The sequence below is a fragment of the Homo sapiens genome, chromosome 12 (genome assembly GCF_000001405.40).
Source record: "Homo sapiens chromosome 12, GRCh38.p14 Primary Assembly".
In the NCBI taxonomy this organism is placed as follows: domain Eukaryota; kingdom Metazoa; phylum Chordata; class Mammalia; order Primates; family Hominidae; genus Homo; species Homo sapiens.
This window is the reverse complement of record NC_000012.12, coordinates 106,429,692-106,456,052: the sequence shown is the minus strand read 5'-3', so window position 1 is coordinate 106,456,052 and position 26,361 is coordinate 106,429,692. Positions and strand designations below refer to the sequence as shown.

The following is a 26,361-nucleotide window of genomic DNA, read 5'->3' as shown; positions in this document are numbered from 1 at the left end:
AATGCCGCTTATTACTGATGAAATAAATGCATGGCAGTAAAATCCTTCACTTAACAATTTTCCACCAAAAACAGAAATCTAAGAATGTGACTTTAGAAATCAATCAGGTAAAAGTGGATTTATAAATAAAATCTCAGGGCTGTAATGTAATTTTTTAAATATGAAGGTGACTGTGAGATGAAGTAACGAATTTCTAAAATTGGACGTCAGATGAAGACATTTGTGTCTTTAAGCAAGGCCGTAGTCATCATGGCTCCTAGGAAATTGTGTATGGCCATAATAAACTCGGCTCAGAATGCCAGCTGGTTTGGAAACATTACATGATCTTGAAATTTCATACAGTAGCCATTAACTGCAACATGCTGGAGTGCAATGTGAATCTTAACTGCATGAAATCAAGAAGTGTTTTCTTCAAAGTGTAAACAGACATTTTATTTACAGGTGATAGCTTAAAAGCTAGGGGATAGTAAACTCAGATCACTGAATTGGGTTGCAGAGTTTCTGACAGACATCACAAAGTCTTCAGATTTCCACATAAACGTTACCAGTTAATCAGAAAGGAAAACATCTAGTTTTAAAGCATGGCTGTTGTCATTTGGAGGAAAAAAAGAGGCATAAATTAAGTGTGGCCAACATTAATGCCAAAGACACATGTCTAGGAGTACTATTATGGCTGCCTAGCAACTACAAAGAGGGAAGGGGAAGGCATAGTGGGTACGCCAGGAAGGAAAAAGAGAAATCGAGATTATGAATAGAGAAGTCAGACTTCAGATCAGGTGATGTCTAACAAACCACGAGGTGGTGACTTGTGAAAGTATTGTCAAAAACAGAAAGAAAAGCAGAAAAACTCCACGCCAGAGTTTGTGGCCGTGTATTTTTAACTTTCGTCACTTGGCCAAAGAAGTTACCAAATTATGAGGTTACACAAATAAGAAACAGCCTTTTACATCCAAATATTGCTACTGCCCTCTCAAACAGGTTTGTTGTTAATAATATGTATCACTAGACACAGTGAAAACACATATTTCATATACTGTAATTCCTGCTGGAAAACAAACACATTCTTACATTTTTTTTCTTTTTGAAGGATTGTCTCACGTAACCAATAAAATAATAAAGGAGAAAAATATTCTGTAGTAGTATGTTTAACAAATTATTTCAATATACTAGTCATTAAAAATGACAAGAAAGCCAACATCAAAACCCAACCACCTCCTGTTTCTATATCATAAAATTCAAATAACTTAAAACTGACATTAACCAAGTGATTTTTACATTAATCATCCCTATATCTAATTCTGCAAAAAGCAACTTTGGTGTTAGTTTTGAAAATTCACTTACCTCTGTCTAAAGAGGCCTTGTTTAAAACAAGAGCATCTTCAATATCATAGCCACTATAGCTCATCACAGCAACTGTTGCATTCTGTCCAGCTGGCAGTTTCTCAAATTCTATCAATTCAATGGTTTTTGTCTTAACCATGGGTTTTTGTGGATATGCTAGTAGATACATGAGAGTATCAATTCTGTTTCGCTGGTTGTATCCTATAGTACCTGCATTGATATGGGAGAAAACAAAATACAACATTCTATTATGTGAAATAATAAGGTAGTAATGAATATAGAGATAAATACATTAACATCACTAATTAAAATGAACAAAATCTTCAGGTTCAACATTTCAAAAGCAATACTCTCATGGTGGCTTAACAACTTGCAAAAGCAACTTTTCTCACTAATATTTAAAGTTCTACAAAGAAGGAAAAATATAAAGTATATTTTAATCTAAATAATTTAGACTTTTTGGATTTACATTATCCCATTTGAGGGATTTAGTTTCCACTGGTTAATTTCACAATCAACAATTCTTTATTTGGTTCTACCGTGTTCCAGGCCTGCTGGGGAGAGGTAATGTAAGAACAACGCCCAGTGTTCACATCCGAGGAGCTTATAAAATGGATAAACAGGTATATTCCATAAAAAGAAATAATTGCAAAAGTTCTAAATGAAAAAGAATACAGGAGAGAAGGGAAGAAAAAGAATGAACAAAGAGGAATTCAAGTGAGAGCAAGGAAGAGTGGATTATGCATTTATTTGATGATTCATGTATTAAGCAGTTAATAAACATCTACTCTGTGCCAAAAACTGGAGATAAAATGAGAAAAGGCTTGGCCCCTTCCTTAAGAAATCTAGGGTACAGCCCAATCAGGGGTGGGCTCTTCCCTCCTTAGCAATCAGTCTTTCCACCTGATTGTTCCTCGGATGGGTGTTATTGGGTCACTGTCAACTGAACATGAAATCAGAATGTTAACCCTTTCTCTCATTTCCCCTTATAAACACACTGGGGTTCATGCACCTGCCTGAAGATGAGTCTTTCAGTCTCCTCGGCTTGTGGACACAGAACTGATGCTACAAAGAGATGTTAAAGTTGGAAAACTCAGGCTTGCTCTACTGCTGAGCTTGAGTGTGGGCTACTGAGCCTCTTTAACTTCTCCTAGGTATCTCTTTTCTCCCCCTGTGAATAGCTAAGGCAGCTTTAAGTCTCTCTCTCTTGCACACGCTTCCATAGTGACACATACACACCACACACACACACTCCGAAGTACCTAAGTGCCATTTCACAGAGTTACACCCTAGGGTATGCAGACACCAAAACTCAGTATTTATTTCCTTTAACTTTTTCTCCATACTCATGTCATTAAATCAATGATGATTTCATTTTGGGGATGAAAATAAGCTATTCAGGCTGGGCGTGGTAGCTCATGCCTGTAATCCCAGCACTTTGCGAGGTCGATGTGGGTGGACTGCTTGAGCTTAGGAGTTCAAGACCAGACTGGGCAACATGACAAAACCATGTCTCTACTAAAAATGCAAAAATTAACGGGGCATGGTAGTCCCAGCTACTTGGGTGGCTGAGGCATGAGAATCGCTTGAGCCCAGGAAGTAGAGGTTGCAGTGAGCTAAGATCATACCACTACACTCCAGCCTGGGCAATAGAGCAAGACCCTGTCTCAAAAAAAAAAAAAAAAGAAGAAAAGAAAAAGAAAATAAACCATTCAAGCAGCAAAAATTACTTGACAATTACTACTGAAAGAAATAGTACATATGTAGGGAATACCTAGTGCAGTGCCATGCTTATTATAGATGCTCAATAAATGTCAAGCAAATTAAATTGAAGAATTCTATTATACTTTTTATGACAGTATGTGCTTAAATCTCTAAAAACTTAAAAAGATTCAGCTGAAAAACAAGTCAAACTGAAACTCATGAACTTTATCAAGGTTGCACTATAAATTGCCAATTGATTTATGTTATTTTAGTGCCAACTAATAAACTGGGCAGGATACCTGGCAATAGATCACTTACTGTTTTAGAAATAAGATTACTACTGCTGGGATTATGGTAAAGTTCACTGACAATAAGTTTGTCCTTTTTTATGAAATCACTTAAAATTTATGTTGAGATTTCAGTTCCAATTGTATACCTTACTCAGCTGGAGACAAGGGTTCAGGCAATGTCCCACCAGGCTGCCAAACATGTCTTCTGAAACCTGAGACACGCATTATTATGCAGCAGGGAAGCATAAATGGCTGCACCTCTAAACAATGGTGAAAGAGACTGGATCCTGCTATAAATTGTGCTACCAGGCCCAGAACATAATTCTCAGGCATTACAACTGACCACTGAATGGATGAACAGCAAAATAGTTTAGCAAATGTTTAGTGCTTATGACATCAAAAAGTTTTCTCTAAAGGCCTTTTAAAGAACTTGTGAGAGTATACATGTACGTGCATTTTTAGCAGCACTGACTATGGGTGTGTAAGTTAAAATGTTAAAATAGAATTTATAAACTATTCTATATCATAAAACTTCAAAATGCTATCAGATTCCCAAATGTTTATAAAAATAATGAATGGCTGACTAACCATTTTGCCAATAAGCAACAGGCAAGCAAATGATAGGGCTTGCCTGTGTGCAGCACACGCTCAAACTTTGATTCCCCTATTAGTATTTTCAGCTTCCTTAAAAAGGGCGTTACATATATATACACACATATAAAATAACACAAGGAGAATATCTATAAGTTGCATTCTACTTCTATTATCCCATTTTGCTGTACTATGGTCTCCAATGATTCCCTTTACTTACTAAGGCATAATCTTTCTAAAAAGCCCTATTTTCTTGATAACAACTTTCTTAAGTCACAAGCTGGCACTACAAGGTAAACAAATGTAAGTTAAAATATTGAAAAAGTGCTCTTTTATAAGGCAGCATGAAAAAGCTTGGTAAGGAAGGATGTAAACAGCTTAGAAAATGTATGCTGAAAAAATTAAAATGAAGTTTTATGCATTTAGCTATTTTTTCCTATCTTCCTTTGCCAAATTTCCTCCCCTCTCCTTCCCTCCCCTCTCCTCCCCCCCCGCCTTTTTTTAAATAACAGAGTCTCACTCCATCACCCAGGCTGGAGTGCAGTGTTACAATCTCGACTCACTGCAACCTCTGCCTCCTGGGTTCAACTGATTCTTGTGCCTCAGCCACCCGAGTAGCTGGAATTACAGACTTGCACCACCACACTCAGCTAATTTTTGTATTTTTAATAGAGATGGGGTTTCACCATGTTGGCCAGGTGAACTCCTCAACCTCAAGTGATCCGCCTGCCTCAGCCTCCCAAAGTGCTGAAATTACAGGCATGAACCACAGTACCTGGCCTCAATTTTCTTTTAAATCAACATTATTGAATACAATAAACTTCATCCATTTAAAGTGTACAAATTAATGAGTTCTGATATACATATATCAGAACTTTTTATCAAGGTTGCACTATAAATTGCCTGTGAAACCACCACTATAGTCAAGATTCAGAACATTCCTAACCCCCAAAAGATCCCTCCCTTTGTTCCTCACCTCAGGGACCACTGATCTGTTCTGTATTGTTACAGATTAGTTTGCATTTTCTAGAATTTTATATAAATGGAGTTATACAGTATCTGCTTATTTAGCATAATGATCCTGAGATTTATGCATATGGTTGAATATTATGCTTCATTCTTTTTATGGCTTAGTATTGTATAAATATACACTTCGTTTATCCATTCACCTGCTGATGAATATTTGCATCGTTTCGCAGTTTTTGGCTACTGTGAATAAAACTGCTATAAACATTCATGTACAAGTCTTTGTATGTTTTTTCATTACTTGGGTAAATATTTAATACCTAGGAATGCAATTTCTGGGTTGTTTGGCAAGGGTATAGTTAACTTTAAGAACATTCCAAAGAATTTTCCAGAGTGATTATACCACTTTACATTTCCACCAGCAGTATATGAGCATTCTGGTTGCTCCACATCCTCACCAACACTTAGTAGGTCAGTCTTTTTAATTTTAATCATTCTGAGTGTGTAGTAGTATCTTATAGGGGTCTTAATTTGCATTTACCTGATAACTAATAATGCTGAACACAGTTTCATGTGCTTATTTGGTCATGCCAAAACTTTGTGAAGTGCTTGGTTTTTGTTTTTATTTTGTCCATCTTTTAATTGGGTTGTCTTACTATTGAAGTGTTCTTTATATATACTTGAATACAAATCCTTTATCAGATATATGTATTGCAAATACTTTCTCCCATTCTATGGTTTGCATTTTCATATTCTTAACAGTATCTTTCCAAGAGCAAAAGTTTAATTTTGAGAAGATCAATTTTTATACTTTGTACTCTTTATGTAAGGAAATCTTAGCTCAACTCAAGCTATGAAGGTTTTCACCTAGGTTTCCTTCTTCAAGAGTAACGGTTTTAGCTCTTACATTTAGGGCTATAATATATTTTTTGTTAATTTTCATATGCTATGAGGTAGGAGCTAATGTTCCTTTTTTCCATATAAGTATACAGATATTTATTTTGTTGAAAAGACTTTACTCTCCACTGGATTGCTTTGACACATTCATTGAAAATCAATTGCCCATAAATGTTTGAGTCTATTTCTGGACTCTTGATGCCAATTCCATTGACCTATATGTCTACCCTTCTGTCAACATCATACTGTATTACTGTAGCTTTATAGTAAATCAAAATCAGGTTGTATAAATCCTCCAACTTATTCTTTGTTTCAAAATTCTTTTCAAAAATCTACCCCTGATTCCTTAATGATTTTAATATTCTCAGAGATTCATTCATTCATTCATTTTTGAAACATGACTTACTATATTCCCTACTAAGCCGGCACTATGCTAGACACAAAGGATATACAGTTGACCCTTGAACATGGATTTGAACTGCGAGGGCTCACTCATATATGGATTTTCTTTTGCCTTTACTACCCCTGAGACAGCAAGACCAATCTCTCCCTTCCTCTACACCTCAGCCTACTCAGTGTGAAGATGACGAGGATAAAGACCTTTATGATAATCCATTTCCACTTAAAGAACAATAAATATATTTTCTCTTCCTTATCATTTCCTTAATAACATTTTCTTTTATCTAGCTTATTTGAATTGTAAGAATATAGTATATAACACATATCACATACAAAATAAGTGTTAATTGACTGTTATTGGTAAGGCTTCCAGTCAACAGTAGGCTATTAGTAGTTAGCTTTAGGGGAGTCAAAAGTTATACACAGATTTTCAACTGTGAGAGGAGTTGGTGCTCCTAACCTCTGTGTTGTTCAAGAGTCAACTGCAGCACAGGTTGAGCATCCTTAGTCAAAAATCCAAAGTCCAAAATGCTCCTAAACCAGAAACTTTTTGAGCGCCAACATGCCGCCACAAGTGGAAAACTCCACACCTGACCTCAGGTGATGGGTTGTAGTCAAAACTTAGTCAAACTTTGCTTCATGTACAAAATTATTAAAAATATCGTATAAATTACCTTTAGGCTATGCGTATAAAGTGTATATGAAACTTAAACGGATTTCGTGTTTAGACTTGGGTCCCATCCCCAAGATATCTTATTATGTATATGCAAATATTTCAAAATCAAAAAAATCCAAAATCTGAAACACTCCTGGTCCTAAGCATTTCAGATAAGGGATATTCAACCTGTAATAAGTAACGGAGCTCCTGACTTCGAGGGGCTTATAATTTACATTCTACCAGAAAAGGCAGCCTGATCGTGATCCACAATGGACAGGAAAAAAATGAGAAAAGAAGTTAGTTTTGGTTGAGAAGAATGTTAGTAAGTTTTATAGGTAACATTACATAGAAGACATAGAAAACCTTTTATATGTTACTCAACAAAACTGGGATTCAGCTTCCTTGTCAGAACAAAAAAAAGTATGTATTATATTTCAAAGGATTATTATTGTAATTAAAAAAAAATGGGCTGGGTGCAGTGGCTCACACCTGTAATCCCAGCACTTTGGGAGGCCAAGGCAGGTGGATCACCTGAGGTCAGGAGTTCGAGACCAGCCTAGCCAACATGGTGAAACCCTGTCTCTACTAAAAAACAAAAAAAAATTAGCTGGGCATAGTGGTGTGCATCTGTAGTCCCAGCTACTCAGGAGGCTAAGGCAGGAGAATTCCTTGAACCCAGGAAGTGGAGGTCACAGTGAGTTGTGATCGTGCCACTGCACTCCAGCCTGGGTGACAGCAAGACTCCATCTCAAAAAAAAAAAAAAAAAAAAAAAAAAAAAGAAATAACGTATGTAAAGAATTTGGATACTCAGTAAGTGGCAACATTATTTATGACCAATATTAACAATATTAGTAATAATAAAAATACATACCTTATTACCCTGTAATATTATCCATTCTACCTCCCACTCAAACCTACATACTAAACTTAGTGTACTCAATTTTACCTCCATATATATGTATATATTCATCGCTAACATTCTAGTCTTAGGAAATACCACATAAGCTTAAACCTAAAATAGCTATAATAATTAAAAAAACTTTTAACCAATAGCAGAATTCAAAAAATAATTTCCAGGGGTAATTTGGCCAGAACATTTTTTGCATTTTGTACCCTTAAACGGACAAAGAATAAATATGCTAAAAATCAAATCAAACAGAAAGGGGGAGGAGGTGTAGAATGAAACAAAATTTTATGAGGATCTTTGTATATTGTGTTTTTAGTGTCTCAAAATTCTCCAGCCTATTTCTAGTGCATCTCAGCCTACTGTAAAGTGCGGAACATAAAGGAAGAAACTATCTACTTAGGAATAAAATCTATTAAAAACAAACACAAAAACAGAAGCTGCATTCACTCCTGAGCTTTAAAAAAAGTCCCAGTAGTTTGAAGTTGAAGCAGGAAGGGGTAGTGAGAAGAAGCCACTGTTGAGGTCTGGGAAGGTCTGTGCTGCATATTCATTAATTGAGCTGATAGTAACTGAATGATCCTTTACACAGGAGAAAGTGTTCCACTAGAGGACTGCCAACTAATAAATGGGCAGGATATGAAAGTGTGGCTCATGTGAACTTGGCATCGGGTGCCGATGAGAGGACACAAAATGCGGCTCCAACACACAGCCCTTCCTGGTAGTGCTGAGCGAGTGACCTGGAGATCCAGCCATTTCCAGATGTCCACCTGACTTCTTGCTCTGAGCCATGTCACAATACACACACAGCCATACCCATGGAGAAGTGCTTCTCAGTGGCACAGTAAGATGCTGTGTGGAAACTCGAACTTTATTAATAAAGCGCCTAAGATTTAAAAAACACCCTCTGCTGGTGTTTTATCGTGGATTAGCTCTCTTACATAGAAGGTAAGGCTTTCCATCTCTGTGGTTTGTGCTGGCCTTGGTCTCCTTCGTAGTGATAGAAAATGACTTTCTCTCATTTCTTCACTCTCTTGTAGGGGGAGTGGGAGGGATAGTAGGGAATGGTAGAGAGCAAATTTTCCAGATTGGCTAGAATATTTAGTGAATTAATTCTGAGCTACTATCTTGCACGTTATACATGGACCAGCAGACAGATGAATACCAACTAAAATATTATTTTAGAAAATCCACATAGAAGCTCTGAATTTAAATAATGTTTAGCAATGGCTCATAGTAAAAATGGGATAGAGTATGAGTTTTAGTTGTCAGCTGTCAAGACTGCAAGGAATTAAAACGATCCAGAGAAGTCCTACTCAAAGTGCGAAGTCTGCATTACAGACCTGGGTATCTGCTGTGGGTTTTCTCCCTCTGCTGACCTTTTTCCTTTTGTCATTTTTCAAGCAGACTTTGCTCAATACTTCTGCAGCTATTTCAGTGTCCACAGAGAAATGCTGCTGCATTATATGCCAACTCTAAATGTACTTTTATCTCGCTGCTTTTCTTTCCAGTCAGGTGTTTTATAATAACAAACAGTAACAAAGGCTTTTTTTTATTACTTAAGATATTCAGTGGCTTTTGTCTTCCTAGCGTCAGCAGTAACGTCAGAGGATTGTATCCAAGGAGCTAAATGTGCAGGACCCAGGGTCAGAGCAGCTGAATACACCAACCTCAGAAAACACAGACAATGAATTGCAAATGACACTCAAAACAAAACGAGAAAAAAAACCTTCACACAGAAAACTACAAAAGAACTCTACAGACACTGAACTGGCTTTCTGTACACACTGATCCTGCTTAACTGTGTGTGGTAACTAACCAAACGTTTCAGATACTCATTGCCACATATAAAGGGTTTCTCTTTTCTTTTTTTTTTTTTTTTTTGTGGGGAGAGGAGTTATAAAAATAAAAATATTATTTCTTTCTTTCAAGTCTATTCTTTATTTTTTAAAAAAGCTTCACTACATAGAGATAGTTGCAGCTCTGTTTCGATCTTCAAACACACTGAAGAGTGGCATTAGCGATGAAGTGATTAGTCTTCCGTTAATTCTGCTGAAGGTTCTACACAAAAGGTGTATTGTTTCAGCTGGGATTCACATCATGAAACAAAATGGTTTGGTAAACCCAATAGAAGTGATAGCCCTTTCATGACACACAGGGTTCAGTACTGTATATTTCAACTTGTTAGCAAGTCAGAAGCACAAGCGGGAAATCAGCCTACACCGCTACTGAGGATGAATGGGAAAGGCTAAATTGATGAGCTGCTGTTTAGATTTTCCCACTGGGAATTATTCTCAACTGTCCAGGCTTACATCATTCAGGTAAATACCAGCAGGATAAAATGCTTTTTATTTCTCTGTAGCTAACCAGAGGGCAATATAAAAACTTGAAAAGAAATATATCTACTCTCTATCCATAATGAAGAAATAGGGTTTCTTAATTGCCAAGCTATGGTCAGTTGCAGCTGGTTGTTGGTAATGGAGGAGCTAAATGCATTCTGGTTGTTACCCAAATGCAATGCAATGCCTCCCTCTCTGTATTTTTACAGTTTCTTTATGAAGCTCCTTGTATCATACTTTAAATCAGAGATGGCAATCATATTGGTGTCATGGGCATATATGAAAATAAAATTTACTAAATATATTAGGATTTAAATGATTTTTTAAAACATTTCAAAAAGCTTTATAAGTAAAACTTTTTTTTTGGCGGGGTCAGGGGGCACTGGTATTCTCTCTGTATTACCTTCAAGATAAAACTCAAACTCCTCAACATATGGCACCTCCCCTTCACGCCTCTGTACCATGCTACACTAGGCAGCCACACTAAAGTACTGAGACCTCTTATGCCATACTTGTTCACACTTTCATACCTTCAAAAATACTCAGTCTTCCAAGACTCAGCTCAGCTCTACCCTTCAGAAAAAACCCACTCTCACTTTAAGTGATCTTCCTCCTCTAATTTTCTTAGATTTTGGTTGTCAATTACAGCATTTATTACACCAGATTGCGTTACTGTTTTATTTGTTGGTCTCTCCTACTAGACTTTGAACTCCCTGAGCACAGGGCTCTGCCTCATCTCTCTATTTTCAGGCTCCAGCCTCATGTCTAGTCTACAGTTATGCTCAATAAATGTTACAAATGAATGAATAAATAAATTAATAGATGAAAGAGAAGACAAAGAGAAAGAGGAAGGAAAATAAACTCAGAAATCAGTGTGACATGAATTGGATAAGTTTTAGGAGATACACTAGCAATTGCAAGGGTATAATGGGTTTGGGGATTGTCAATCAGGCAATTACTAGGTACACTCAAATAGACATCGTACATCTTTATTTTTTTCTCCCTCTTCCTCCTTAACCTTGAGTTTTTCTGCCCTTTCTCCCTTCTCTCAAGGTTAACAAGTTACATCTTATAGGGCTTTTCTCTTTATATTTATCCCTCTTAATTCTGTGACACTTATTACACATTGCTTTGTTTGGTGAAGGAAACAAGTTTAGAGAGGTTTTCTCCATTTTTTGTTTAAGATTTAGACATAGCAGGGCACCAAGCCTTGCAGAGTTCCATAGGCAACTCCCTGGGCTTGGTAACCCTCAGGTGTTCCCAGTGCCTGGTTGGGAACATATAATACTGGTGAAGCAGGAATAAAGATGTAAGGCTTTTTCCAAAAGTATTTCCAAGTATTTAGAACCAACTTTCAAGAAGGAAATCTTACCCATGGCTTGTTTCCCCATGGCACACTGATAAGTGTTTCTCGGTGACTGGTTATGGTGAGGGTATGGGATAAGTCCAGCACACACGCCGAGAAGAGTGAAGGGTTCAATCTCCAAGTGGGTGGTGTCTCTAACAAGTTAAGTAAAAATCACATATCTTAAGCATCAAGTACAAAAATAAATGTCTTTTAAAGGGTACAAAAATATTGTTATCTAGGTCCTCCAGGGATTTATATGTCAATAAAATTTGATGCTAGTAAAACTGGTAAAATAAAAACATACTTAAATAAAATACAGTAAAACATAAGAAATTGTAATTAACACATAAATTACTATATTCAACACATAGAAATACATCAACAATATTCACATGGATGACTAGCCTGCTTTTCCTCATTCTTCTAACATATATCAATGAGTAGGTTGTATCACCATTTAAGAGTGGAATATACGTCCTTTAAATACAGTTACTAGCCAAGTACAGTGGCTCATGCCTGTAACCCCAGCAGTTTGAGAGGCCGAGGCAGGTGGATCATGAGGTCAAGAGATCGAGACCATCCTGGCCAACATGGTGAAACCCTGTCTCTATTAAAAATACAAATTAGATGGGTGTGGTGGCACCCACCTGTAGTCGCAGCTACTTGGGAGGCTGAGGCAGGAGAATTGCTTGAACCCGGGAGGCGGAGGTTGCAGTGAGCTGAGATCATGCCACTGCACTCCAGCCTGGCGAGAGAGCGAGACTCCGTCTCAAAAAAAAAGAATAGGTACTATAGGCCGGATGCAGTGGCTCACGCCTATAATCCCAGCAGTTTGGGAGGCCGAGGCAGGTGGATCACTTGAGGTCAGTAGGTCGAGACCAGCCTAGCCAACACAGTGAAACACTGTCTCTACTTAAAAAATACAAAAAATTAGCCAGGCATGGTGGCGGGCACCTATAATCCCAGCTACTCTGGAGGCTGAGGCAGGAGAATTGCTTGAACCCAGGAGACGGAGGTTGCAGTGAGCTGAGATCTTGCCACTGCACTCCAGCCCGGGCAACAGAGCAAGACTCTGTCTTAAAAAAAAAAAAGAATAGTTACTATAGACCAACAGAGACCAATACCATAGCCACTAGACACTAGATAACTGTGGCTACTGAGCACTTGAAATGCCGGGCTAGTGTGACTGAGAAACTGAATTTTTAAATTTTACTTAATTACTTTAAATTTTAAAACTCAAATTGAAATTTAAGTAACTCAGTTCAGTTATATAAAATCTTTTATCTTGGAACAACTCACATTTATGAATCTTTTAAAAGTGTAAATGTTATGAAATGAGATCTAGTATTTCTGATAAAAAATTGGCATCCAAGTTGAAATGTGCTGTAAGCACACACCAGATTTTGAGGACTTATAGTAGGAAAAAAAGTGTAAAATAGCTCATTAGTTTTATATTAATTACCTGTTGATATAATATTTTGGATATGTTGACAAATAAAACTATTATTCAAAATAATTTTACCAGTTTCTTTTTACCTTTTTAATGTGGCTATTAGAAAGTTTGAGGTTATATAGGTGGCTTGCATTTTATTTTACTGGACAGCTCTGCTATGGGTAGTACTGGACACAAAGTAAGATTTTACCTAGTAGATGTCAGAATCTTGGTTACTTTCATAATATATTTCTGCAGAAAATTCAGTTTTTTGGCCAAATGATGAAGCTACTCAGATGTGTTAATAGGAAAGAGTACCCAGATTAATTATAGGTATTTGTGGAAAGTACCAGATGTGTCATCCAGGATCTGTGATCTCTGTGGACCCGCTATTTTTCCCTCAAGTGTTTGTGAAGTGTAACCTTAAGAATTTCAGTGGTTTACAGCACCTGTGGACTGAAGTGATGTCCAAGAAACCACGTCCCAGCCCATCAATGGAATGTACCTGGTAAAAGATCTCCCACTTATCCAGTTATTAACCTATTTTTTTTTCCAAAACACATGTATTAAATTATGTCCCTAGTTTGGTGAGAGAAAGTGCCTTCCATGTGGTTCTTGGTTTGAAGAGTACTGTTTTCACCTTATGACCTAGCAGAACCCCAATCCTCTCAGACAAGCAGGAAGGGAAAAGACTTCCTTTGTTAAGCAGGAAGGGAAAATACTCTAGGTTTTGTTTTGCTTTTTTCTTTAAAGAACATCAGCTTATAGCTACATTTTATAGTCTAGAAGAAAACAGATTTTCTTTTAAATATACTGCTTTGTTTAAATATTGGCCAAGTTGACATTTTCCATCTAAGTAAAAACTACTTTTTCAGATGTTAACATTGGATTGAGTTGAAAAATGAAAAGAAATATCTGAAGTTTTTTTCTCTTATGGTGACAACATACATAAACTCACATAGTATCTAATAATTACTGGAAGTCCAAACACTCTAGATTCTGACTTTACAAAAAAAAAAAATTATTCTCTTTAAAATCATCAGTTTAGAAACTGAACAGGAATTGGGAGATTTCTTTCTTTCTTTCTTTCTTTTTTTTTTTTGAGGCGGATTTTCGCTCTTGCTGCCCAGGCTGGAGTGCAATGGTGCGATCTTGGCTCACTGCAACCTCCGCCTCCCGGGTTCAAGTGATTCTCCCACCTTAGCCTCCGGAGTAGCTGGGATTACAGACATGCGCCACCACACCCAGCTAATTTTGTATTTTTAGTAGAGATAGGGTTTCTCCATGTTGGTCAGGTTGGTCTCAAACTCCCAACCTCAGGTGATCTGCCTGCCTTGGCCTCCCAAAGTATTGGGATTACAGGCGTGAGCCACTGCACTCAGCCGAGATTTCTTATTCACTGTGTATAAAGCACTTAAATTTAGTTCGAATGAAAACTAAATAACCTGTTGTTTATAACAGTAGAAAAATTGGAAACTACCTAAATATTCAACAGTAGGAAACTAGTTAATAAACTAAATGTGTGTAGGTAGATAATGTAATAACAAATGGCAATTAAAAAAATATATATATGTATACAGTCACACACCACATAACATTTTGGTCAACAACAGACTGCATAAATGGTGGTGGTTCCAAACGATTATAATACTGCATTTTTACTATACCTTTTCTTTGTTTAGATATGTTTTGATACACAAATACTTACCATTGTGCTACAACTGCCTACAATGTTCAGTAGAGTAATATGCTGTACAGGTTTGTAGTCTAGAAGCAATAGGCTTTAGCATACAGTCTATGTGTGTAGTAGGTGACAGTGGGTGACAGACACCATCTAGGTTTGTTTAAGTACACTACGATATTCACATAATGAAATCACCTGACAACAAACTTCTCAGAACGCATCCCCATCATTAAGTGACATAAGACTGTGTATACAAATATACATGTATATAAATATATATACTAATATGGAAAATGTCCAGAGTATACTGGTTAAGTTTCAAAATCAAGGCACTGGAAATGTTATCACTGTTTTATACACACACATTGTGTGGAATCATGTGTGTATGTTTGTACTCAGAAAAAAAATCTAGAATAGTACATAAGAAATTATTAGCATCGGCAACTTCTGGAGGGTGGAGTCTGGTGGGATGGGAAAGGAAGGGGATTCATTCTTTGTACTTCATGCATTTCTATATTTTAAAAAACATAAGTATGAATTAAATAATACAAAAACTTCTAGATTTTTTAAATGAAATTAATTTGATGTATGGAATAGCTTGGTAATTGGGTAACGCTGAGAGTTATATTCATTTACATCAATGAAAAACCAGATGAAAATCCCTGCCTTCGTGAAGCTTCTAAGTGAGGGAAGATAGACAATACATAGATACATCAGTAAAATACCAATTTTACTCTATGGTAATAGGCACAAGAAGTAAAAAAAAAAAAAAAGTAGTAAAGAGGAGTGGATAGAGATAAGAGTTTCTACTTTCACTAGAGTGGTCAGAAAAATCTCACGAGAAGGTGACACCTAAGTGAAGACCTGGAGGGGGTGAAGCAGTGAGCCATGCAGGTATGTGAGAGAGTGCTCCAGGCAGAGGAAGCAGCCAGTGCAAAGGTGCTAAGGCAGAGGCACGCCTGGAGTGTTTGGAGAAGAGGCCAGTGTGGTTGAAACAGGGAGTGGGGAGAGGTAGAAATGGAAGTGGGCAGATTGTGCAGGAACTGGAAGGCTTCTGTAAGGACTTCTGAGGGAGACCGACAGCCCCTGAGGGATTTGAGAAGAGAACGGACATGCCCCCTCTGCTCTATTAGGAAAAGACTATATGGGAACAGGTGTCAAAATAGTCAGGAGGCCTTTGCAAAAATCCAGGTAAGACATACAAATGGCCTGGACTAGGTGATGGATTGAGGTAGTGAAAAAGAGTTCAGATTCCAGATGTATTTGGAAGGCTCATGTGATGAGCTAGGGATTGATGTCAATATAGAGAAAAAGGGTCAGGACGGAAATAGACAGTTTTGTTGGCTTGAGTAATACAACGATGGAACTGTCATTTATGGGGCTACTATAAAATAGTTTTCTTTTATACTCAGGATACATATCTATATCTATATTTTTTTTGAGTAAGGGTCTCACTCTCTCGCCCAAGCTGGAATGCAGTGGTGTTCCAAGTATAGCTCACTGCAGCCTCAAACTGTGCTCAAGTGATCCTTCCACCTCAGCCTCCCAAGTAGCTGGGATCATAGGTGCACACCACAACACTTGGCTAACTTTTTTTTATTTTTAGTAGAGATGAGGTCTCACTGTGTTGCCCAGGTTGATCTCAAACTCCTGAGCTCCAGCAACCCTCATGCCTTAGCCTCCCAAATTGCTGGGATTATAGGTGTGACCCACCACACCTGGCCCTCAGTCAATTTTGAAATGAGGGGTATAAAATAGCACTTTGAGAGATTCACATCTTTAAGGAAGAAAAATTCTGACCAAAAACCACTATTTACAAAGTGCAAAAAATATATATATTTGCAATATATATATTGGCAACAGGGTTTGCTTTGTCACCCAGGCTGGAGTGCAGTGGCATGAACATGGCTCACAGAGCCTCCACCTCCTGGACTCATGCAATCCTCTAGCCTCAGCCCCCTGAGTTACTGGGACTACAGGCGTACATCACCACACCTGGCTAATTTTTAAGTTTTTTGTAGAGACGGGGTCTTGCCATGTTACCCAGGCTGGTAAATTATAATCTTCTAAAAAGTAATATATTTCATTTGGTAGCAGAAAACAGAAAAGTTTTTCTTTTTCCTGTTTTAAGAGATAGGTTCTTACCCAGGCTGGAGTGCAGTGGCACAATCATAGCTCAGTGTAACCCATAACTCCTGGGCTCAAATGATCCTTCCACCTCAGCCTCCCAAGTAGCTAGGACTACAGGTGTGTGCCACTGTGTCCAGCTAATTTTTTATTTTTATTTTTAGACATAGGGTCTTGCTATGTTGTCCAGGCTGGTCTCAAACTCTTGGCCTCAGGCGATTCTCCTGCCTCAGTCTCCCAAAGCACTGGGATTATAGGGGTGAGCCATTACACTGGGTCAGAAAAGTACTTATTCTTGATTGAAGACATAAATAGTTATTAGGTGGTAGTATTAAACTCTCTAGCAATATATCTGCAAGAATTCCAATTTCAGGTAAGTGGTACATCAGTCACATGCATCAGACAGCAAGTTACATAGATGTTCTTTAATGTACTCTAAAATGGAACACAGATGCTTCTAAAAATATCATTGTTCAAGAAGAAATATTGTGAACATACTACCAATTCAAGTGCATACTGCACATAAACTTAGAGTTTTTGAACAGACTATGTAGAGAATTCCTGCACTGACAAGAATTCAGATGTCCATGGACAAAAATCATCTCTAACAGAGGTAAGTATATTTTTATACAGCTTGATTCATTAGTTCAACTTTGGCAGTAATCAAGTATTAAAATCAGAGAAGCAACTCCTTTTAAAAAATACACATTAAGGCTGGGCATGGTGGCTCATGCCTGTAATCCCAACTACTCAGGAGACTGAAGTGGGAGGATCACTTGAGATCAGGAGTTTTAAGTTTCACTGAGCTATGTTGTGCCACTGTACTCCTTCAGGGTGACAGAGCAAGACCTTGTCTCAAAAAAAAAAAAACATATATATGGTTTTATATACATATATATATATGGTTATCTATCTATATGGATATATGGATATATCTTTCTATGAGTGTGTGTGTGTATATATATAAACTGTCACACGAATAGGAAGGATAATTAAATCTAAAGATGACTTGTTAGCTGCTTTGTAATACTCTTCACTAGGATAAATGATGCGTTATGCTCTGCTATAAAATTGTATATTTCTTTATGGTACATACAGAAATATACAATATACATATATACCATGAAATACTATGCAGTCATAAAAAGGAACAAGATCATGTCCTTTGCAGAGACATGGATGAAGCTGGAAGCCATCCTCAGCAAACTAACACAGGAACAGAAAACCAAACACCGCATGTTCTCACTCACAGGTGGAAGCTGAACAATGAGAACACATGGACACAGGGAGGGGAACAACACACACCAGGGGGACTGTTAGGGGGTTGGGGGAGGAAGAGCATCAAGATAAATAGCTAATGCATGCTGGGCTTAATACCTAGGTGATGGGTTGATAGGTACAGCAAACCACCATGGCCCACGTTTACCTATGTAACAAACCTGCATGTTCAAACAAAAAAAAGAAGATTGTATATTTCTAACAGTTCCTGTCAAAAGAGTAAAAGATAGAAGGACTGAAGATGACAGTAAAAGAGAAGGTAGTTTCTATAGTCAGAACACGTTTTAATTATGGTTGCTATGGATCCTACTTACTTATTAATTGTGTGTTCGTACAGTGCAATGTTACAATCATTTTCTTCATTCACATCTAAATATTCAACCAGACTCTCATGTAAGAAATCTTCAAAATTCCTGGGAAAATATTGGTGAAAGAGACATCATTAAAAAGCATTTTTCTGCAGTATTTTATATAATAACAGGAGATACTGGCTTTCGTTTAGGCCCAAAGCACCTTTCTCTCCCAGAGAATATCATTACATTGGGATACCTGAAACATGTTATTCTTAGCTCACACAGTAACCACAAACTGCTGAAATAAAAACAGCAAAGTGTCTGTCTGTAACTCTTGTGAACCTAGTCCCCACTTCTTAAAAAAAAAATTCTGACCTTAGAAACCTCATAATGAGACCCACAGTGTCTACACTGACACATGATGTAAGTCCTTTTCTTACCAGAAACACTTACTTGTGTACTAACTGACATCAAGACTAGGTAACCCTCATGATCTAAATTGATGAATATTTTACAATGTCCAAGCAAGTTCACATGGAGCAAAATAGGTTTTTAACAGGCTGGTAATTTGGTGGAAAGAAATTAAAACACTAAAATGAAAATACACTTTTCTTAAATCATGTATGTGGGTATTAAGGAGATTGGTAAGTTTTACTTTTGGCTACTTACCTGTACCCTTGGGCCAGCTCTTCCATATGTTTATTTGTGACTGCTGGCTTCTGTTTCTTGACAATTATGTAGGGTCTAGAATGGAAACAGCAAACCAAATTAATAATAGTTCCAGGGAAAAATTACACAGGCAAGTTAGTTTACCAAAGTGAGATGAGGGAAGATGTAAATACAAACAAACCTATTCCTGGATTGCTGAGGACACCAGGTAATTTTTGTATGGATGAGCATGGTGTAGGGGACTATGCTCTCTCTCACATACACACACATACATACCCAAGCCCATGTGTACATGTGAGTATGTGTGGACATATTCATGCACACACACAGTGCTTCCTGCAAGTATCTTAGGAAACATTTGGTTTTGAATGAAAAGGCAACACAAAAATGATACTCAAAGTCTGAAAAGGAAACAAAACCTTTAATGCCATATTTTAAAAAACGGTGTAATGTATCAATCTAAAAACTTCCCGATTTCACATTGGAAAATTTTGCATACTACTCATGGAGTTAACAGGCAAAGAAGCACTGTCACCTAGGGTAATAACGGCGTTGTGTTGTGAGGTTCTGATGAATATCCAGATGTTTAGAGTAGTTTGATTTAGTCTAAACATCACTGAGCTAGGTTAGCAAGATACTTAAAGCTACACATTACCAAAGAGAGTGGCTAAAAGTTGGCAGAGAATGAAGCTTTCTTACTTTGTGGTTTTCAGTGACGTAATGGGTGGAAGGTGGAGAAGGCATTCTGGCAGATTAACCTGTAACTGTCAGTGGGGACTTGCCTCGGAGGGCTTTGCCACCATGAGGAAACCCGGACACAAAGGATGGCATGCGGCACTGAAACGTCAAGGGCTGTTGCTATTTGGATAAGCAGCTCTTACAGAGAGGAGCAAGTAACCACCAGACACTTGTGCGCTCTACCCTAAAGTCCAAATAACTATTTGAGGACTAATGAGCACTTTTCAACAGTTAAGAAGAGGAGCTGCACAATTACAAAAGGGGAACACAAGTTGTTGAAAAATGAACTGGGTGAGCTTTTCATGGAAATCCACAGTACCTCGAAATTCTGGCTCCTTCTTGGTAGGGAAGCAGAGCCTACTAATGCCTCATTTGAGCGCTGCAGTGGATTCAGGTTAAGCCTCAGATGAGAAGACAGAAACCGGCGGAGGAGAGGGAGGGGATCACATTTAGCTGCCTCAGTTATCCTTACGTTACTCAACGCATTCTACTATTTTTTCCTGCTAGATCTGTTATGCCATTATAAAGTTGCTTCTATAAAAGAGTTTTATTTTTGAATATATATTATGTTGGATGTAATGAAATCCTAAAAAAGAGTAACCTAGAAAATGTCACTGTTATTCCTGCCCTTAACTGGACCATGCTATTAAGTTATAAATAAGCACCTAATGTGTGCCTGGCACCCTACTGAGCACTTACCACACCTTCTATCAACTAGTTCTCAGGACAATCTTAGGCAGGCATTATTGTTTCCATTTTACAGCCAAGGAAACCAAGGCTGAGAGACTGAAGTAGTATACTCAGAGTCACACAACTCAGTAAGTGGGAAGTTAGGATTCAAACACAGGTATATCATCAGCTAACCATTCTTCGGTTGCAAAGAAGAGAAACCAATTCTGGCTAATTTAAGCAAAAATGAAGTTTACTGGAAGCATTAAGAATTTACAGGTGCTGGGTGCGATGGCTCACACCTGTAATCCCAGCACTTTGGGAGGCTGAGGTGGGTGGATCACTTGAGGCCAGGAGTTCGAGACCAGCCTGGCCAACACAGTGAAACCCCATCACTACTAATAATACAAAAAATTAGCCAGGGGCAGTGGTGTGTGCCTGTAATCCCAGCTACTGGGTCAGGGACGGGGGTGGGGAGCTGAGACATGAGAATCGCTTGAACCTGGGAGGCGGAGGCTGCAGTGACTCAAGATCGTACCACTGCACTGCAGCCTGGGTGACAAAGTGAGACTCTGTCTCAAAAAAAAAAAAATAATTTAATGGAAGGATAAGAATCAAAGAAAAAGGTGAAATGCTCAGCCTCAGAAAGAAAAGGAACGAGAGCAGTTCCAAGAATCCAGAAAATGAGGTTTAACAGGCAGTCTCTTGCATGTAGCACTGGGAGAATGAATCAAGTCCAACCACCTCCCTCCCTTGATTTATTTTACCTGGGATTCAAATTCTCTGATGAGGGGGTCTGACTGACCTCATTTGGGTCATATGCCCAACCCCTGGCTGAAGAGAAGAGGGTGCTGGACTGACCATCCCAAGAAGCCTGCCAATGGGGACAGGCAGTCCTCAAAAGAAAATGAGGTAGTGTCATATGAAGGAGGAAAGGATGCTGGAGGAAAGAAAGCATGCAGTCACTCTCCCAGCTCTGACAGACTTCCAGCTACTGCTGGCTCACTGCCTTGTGCTTCAACACTACCCGAGGTATACACAGAATAACTACGGTAATGCTAGAAAAGGCTTGTGACACAAGGCAATGTCCTCAGCTGATGTCTCTGCATAGCCCCTCAAACCAGACACCATGTCACATTCGTCTCTGTACCTCCGGCTCCTAGATAGTACCTGTGCACAATAGGCCCTTAATAAATACTTACTGAATGAATAAAAGGAACCTACTTTTCCATTGGATCTAGTGTTATTTTATTTCTTCATGCCTCCATGTTTTCATTCTTGCCTTTTTTCAGCCTTTCTCCTCCCCACCTACCTCCAAGTTAACACAATCCTACTCCTCCTTTAAAGCTCAGTTTGTAGCAACAGACTATAGTGGGCAAAATCATGCGTCAAACGAATCCTAAGGACTTTCAAATAAAAAACAGATTCCACCACTCTTTAGCTTTCAGTAAGTTACTTAGCCTCACTGAACCTCAGTTTCCTCATTTCTTAAATGACAAGAATAATCCAACCTCATAGGGTTGAATGAAGAAGTTAAAGCCTTACACATATAGTGTCTCCATTAAAATGACAAATGGTGGCTAGCATTAACCACTACCACAGTTGATTGTTATTAGTCATTTTTTCTGCCTTTCCCGGCAGACTGAGCTCTCTGAGGGCAGACTCTGTCTCCCATTAATCTGAATCCTCGGTACCTAATATGCATATTCATGAAGTGTTTGCTCACGGAATTAAATTTATCTTCACAATGAAAGAGGTTAAAACAGTTTCAAAAATAAAAACAAGTCTATTTCTTTCAAGAGCAAATATAAAGAGATTCTTAAAAACTCTTTTTAGTAACCTGCATATATACCTGCATAGCCTTCCCCCATCAGAAGAAATATAGACACATCGATCTGTAAGATTTGTTGAGATGGAAACAAATTCATTGATATATCCTGCTCTTCTCATGAGTCGAAATGTATTCACTAGCTTTTTGTGGTCTCGAATGACACCTAAGATGTTACCTAGGCAAAAAGAAAGAACAGGTAAGACAGAAATAAAAAATAAATGCAACCTGATTTAATATATCCAACCAATAAAAATAGTAATCAGCACTAAGCAGTTATTTGAAAATACCATTATTAACACCTGCAGCCAGTCCACAAGGTTGCAGGGAAGCAACAAAGGAAGAATGCTTAAGGGCCAGTCCTTCCACATGCAGGCTGAGGAATACTGGAAAAGTCAGCTTCATTTTCCTCATCTTTCAGCACAGTGCTGGGGCATGAACTTGGGGTCCAAACAACCTGGGTTTGAACACTGGCTCCATCACTTCCACAGGCTGGCAGTAAAGGTTAAACGAGCTGATCATTTAAAGTACTGAGAATTCTGCCTAGCACCTACTAACTGCTATTATTAAACTGCTTCTTGTTGTAATCAACATTTGTGAAATGAGGAAAATGAACTTTGCTTCCCAAGGTTAGCGGGAGGATTCAAAGAGGCACTGGGTGAAAGTGCAGAGTAAAAGCTCACTCAATGTTAGCCTCTGGGATACAATGAACTAGGCAGTCAGTTAACAGCCCTGCTGAGGCTCTGACCCCTTCCTCACCAGCAGATATAAAAAAGAGTTAATGCCTCCTAGAATGAGAGGAAGGGGGAGAGGAAGAGAGAACAGACAAGTGATAAGGGATAAGCTCATGGAGCATACTAGGGAGAGAACAGGCACACAGCACCAAATCAAAAGCAGAAAGGAAGAGAGCACACTTGCTGCTAAGTCTCTGGAAGACTTCGAAGGAGACGGGAAGAGGTATATGAAAGAAATAACTGGAGTGTGAGCCAAAGGAGAGGGATCCTCTTATCACAGGCTGCTGACATATTGATTATCAGATGGCTAGACAAAGTCAATTCATTATAAGAGTTGATCTGATAATTTTTGCAGAATGACTCCAATATTTGACTTGTACTTAAAGATACCATGTTGAACCGTATTCCACTAAGGATATGCCAGCAACTGCAAAAGGGGAGAAAGCAGCCACTTTCTGCAAAGTTACCCTTTAGCTCTGATAGCTATATCCTCTCAGAACCTTGGATAACCCAGCCAACAAAGTAACTGTTTCTGTTATCATTGTATTTTCTACCTTTAAGTGAAGGTCAACCTGGGCCCAGAATTAAAGTCTATCTGTGCTTTAAATACCAGGATAATAATGGATTCCCTCCCCCTCTTCACAGACTATCTAGGACCAACATGTCTCTATAATATACCCACCATTAAGAAAGACAAGAAACACATTTGGGTAAGAGAGCTCTTCCCCACATAATAAATTCACATCTTCTACTCCCAAGTTACTGGCTAATTTAACAATGGGTCCATCTTCCATATCAGTTGTGATGTGTGTCATAAGGGCCAAGTTTTTAACCAAACCACATGCCTAAAAAACAAAAGATGGTCATTTCTAAGAATGAACATTAGTAATACAAAGTACAGTTTACATCTGAAAATAGCTCACTACTTTGCTGGCAGCAATGCAAAGCAGTACAACTTTGTAGGGGATACTGTGGTGATTCGCACAAATGCCTTTAAAAAATATATATATCCCTTAACTCAGGGGAATTTCTCTTCATAACAAGCAAGGATATAAAATAGATTTAGATACAGAAATGCTCAGCACAGTACTATTTGTAATTGTAAATGCTGACGACATCATAAATGCCCAACAAAACTGATTACATTAACAATTACTCCCAGACATTGGAACATTACAGTCATTATGATGACATTGTATAAAATAAGTAAAGGAAAACATTAATAAATGCAGCTACATAAAAATATAAAACTTCTGGCCTGAAATGAGAGACTGTATAAAATAACTGGCCAGTGCCCTTAAGTTTCTTGGTCACGAAAGGTAAATAAAGACAGACTGAAAAACTCTTTCAGATGAAAAGAGACAAGGAGACATGACAACTAAAAACAATGTGTGATTCTGGATCAGAAAAAAGACAACAGTGGGACAACTGGCAAAATTTGAATAAGATCCATAGATTATAGTATTGTTCAATGTCATGAGGCTGATAACAGTGCTATGGTTACATAAGATGTTCACAGTTGGGAATCTAGATGAAAGATTGTGGAAAATCTTTGTACCAGTTTCATCACTTTTTTGTATATCTAAAATTATTTCAAAATGAAAAGAAAAGAAATCTTTTTAAACATCTATGCAACCCGGTACAGTTCTAAAACAAAAATACCAACAAGGACAGAATATAGCAAATAGGAAAAAAATACTTAAGACAGGTGACTTGTAAGATTGTATCTTCAGGTCTTAGAACCATCTGCTGCAGTAATGTACAAAATAGCTACTTTTTTGAAGTTAGCTGAAGCAATCTCTGGGAAATGAAATGTTTCAAAGTTCAAGATATATAAATTATGCAAAATTTGACAAACTGGATAATTTTAGTGTCAATTTCCATATGGTTTAAGATAAATTAAATAGTTTCTAAAAATCGCAGCTCTATACAGACTCCTATTTTCATCTCTTCCAAATAATAAATTCCTACACTTTGGACCCTACATCTTTTACTTGTTGTAATTATTAATTCAGCATATATTCATGGGGCCTGTACTCTAACCAAGGCTCTATGTTAGGAGCTTGAGATACAATGGTGAACCTTCCTTCCTCCAGAATTTTACAATTTAGAAGGAATAGAATCAAGTGAAACTAACAATGTTAACACAAAGGAGAAAGGACCGTGACACAGGGAGTAGCGGGTGCTATAGAAGTAAACCCATGTAAACTCCCTGGCTTGATGTTTAGGCAATTGCTTGTGTTTCCAATATAAGTGAGTCAAAATCCACATTAGGTCATGGACTGTATACTCCTAATTGGCTGTGACTGAGCCTACCTAAGGACAATAAGGAGCTGCTCAAAAAGAGCCCCTCATGAGCATGAGAGGTGGTAGGTCTTTCAATCTGCCTTCACAGTCTTATCCCCTCTGTGCATGTTTTGATTTTGGGATAAACTAAAATAATAAAGAGAAACATGGACTATATTACTTTTAGCTAACATACTGAATCAAATGCTTCTGCAGGTCCTAGTTTTAGAATGATACTAATGTAGTCTTCCAAGCATGTCAATATTTATTTGCCAGATAAATGACAGACCAAAGAAAGGATATGGCCTGGAGATGGGAACAGAAGCAGACCTCCCCACCCCACCCCATGCACAGACATAGGTATCGCCTCTTACACAGCATCAAGACTCCTCAGATTCCTTACCTCTCCTTCAGGAGTGTCCGAAGGACACAGCATTCCCCACTGAGATGGCTGGAGGGAGCGAGGACCACTCACTTTTCTCGTTTTTTCAAACTGGGAAGAGATTCTTGTCATCATGCCCAGTGCGGATATATATGACAAGCGAGACAGCACTTGGGTTACACCCTGGCGGTCCATTTTAAATCTCTTTAAAGACCAATTTCCCTGTAGGGAGATGAAAGACATAAGACTATTCCTAACCCAATCCTATGTTGTCTGATACCGTGCGGTCACTCCAAGAAGTTCATTACAGGAGCTTCATGCTTACGAAATTAGAACCATGACATATATTCAGAAATCAAAGTGTCACAATTAAAATGAAAGTTTAGTCAAGTCACTTGCTGGGGTTTTCTAGGAAGATAATGAACATTACTATGTCTAGCAACCATCTCAGAATTATTCGACGCATAACCTTACCACATCAGAGCACTCACCTTCTGAGGAACTAATTCTATAATGAAGAGCCAGTTCAACCAGAGATTTCCATGGGAAGTCATAAGCTAACTGATAAAACACCAGCAATTTCTATACACATTTAAAGGAAAACTAGTATGAAGCTCAAAGAGATCATTTCATGTAGGAATGTGCTATTATTTGGATGTTTTCCAAAGTTAGTCTTAAGAACAGGAAAATGTAGCAACAGAAAAATAACTCAGATATCATTTACTTAGGATAATGAACAAACTGAAGGCTTCTTAATTAAGGTTTAAGGAATCTAAAAATAGTACATATATTCATATTAAGAA

General features: G+C 38.0%; 1 protein-coding gene across 3 annotated transcripts in view, besides 2 other annotated features; it reads right to left on the bottom strand.

The window, feature by feature from the left end:
* POLR3B (RNA polymerase III subunit B) overlaps positions 1-26,361 on the bottom strand; it is a 152,451-nt gene that overhangs the window by 54,146 nt on the left and 71,944 nt on the right. For all 3 annotated transcript variants that reach the window (NM_018082.6, XM_017019621.3, NM_001160708.2), the window contains exons 14-20: positions 25,580-25,780; positions 23,573-23,735; positions 22,181-22,334; positions 18,922-18,996; positions 18,274-18,372; positions 11,463-11,590; positions 1,342-1,551 (exon numbers count right to left, since the gene is read on the bottom strand). In NM_018082.6, coding sequence (NP_060552.4) covers positions 1,342-1,551; positions 11,463-11,590; positions 18,274-18,372; positions 18,922-18,996; positions 22,181-22,334; positions 23,573-23,735; positions 25,580-25,780 — 1,030 coding nt within the window. The remainder of the gene's footprint in view (positions 1-1,341; positions 1,552-11,462; positions 11,591-18,273; positions 18,373-18,921; positions 18,997-22,180; positions 22,335-23,572; positions 23,736-25,579; positions 25,781-26,361) is intronic.
* Positions 815-864: a silencer, noted in NCBI's record as "silent region_4817". NCBI's record gives its function as "represses an Ori minimal core promoter by ATAC-STARR-seq in GM12878 lymphoblastoid cells {active_cell/tissue: GM12878}" and the evidence as "EXISTENCE:reporter gene assay evidence [ECO:0000049][PMID:35858748]".
* Positions 11,370-11,575: a silencer, noted in NCBI's record as "fragment chr12:106838256-106838461 (GRCh37/hg19 assembly coordinates)". NCBI's record gives its function as "represses an EF-1alpha promoter that drives an FKBP-Casp9 reporter gene in an ReSE screen in phorbol 12-myristate 13-acetate-treated (for megakaryocytic differentiation) K562 erythroleukemia cells {active_cell/tissue: K562(+PMA)}" and the evidence as "EXISTENCE:reporter gene assay evidence [ECO:0000049][PMID:32094911]".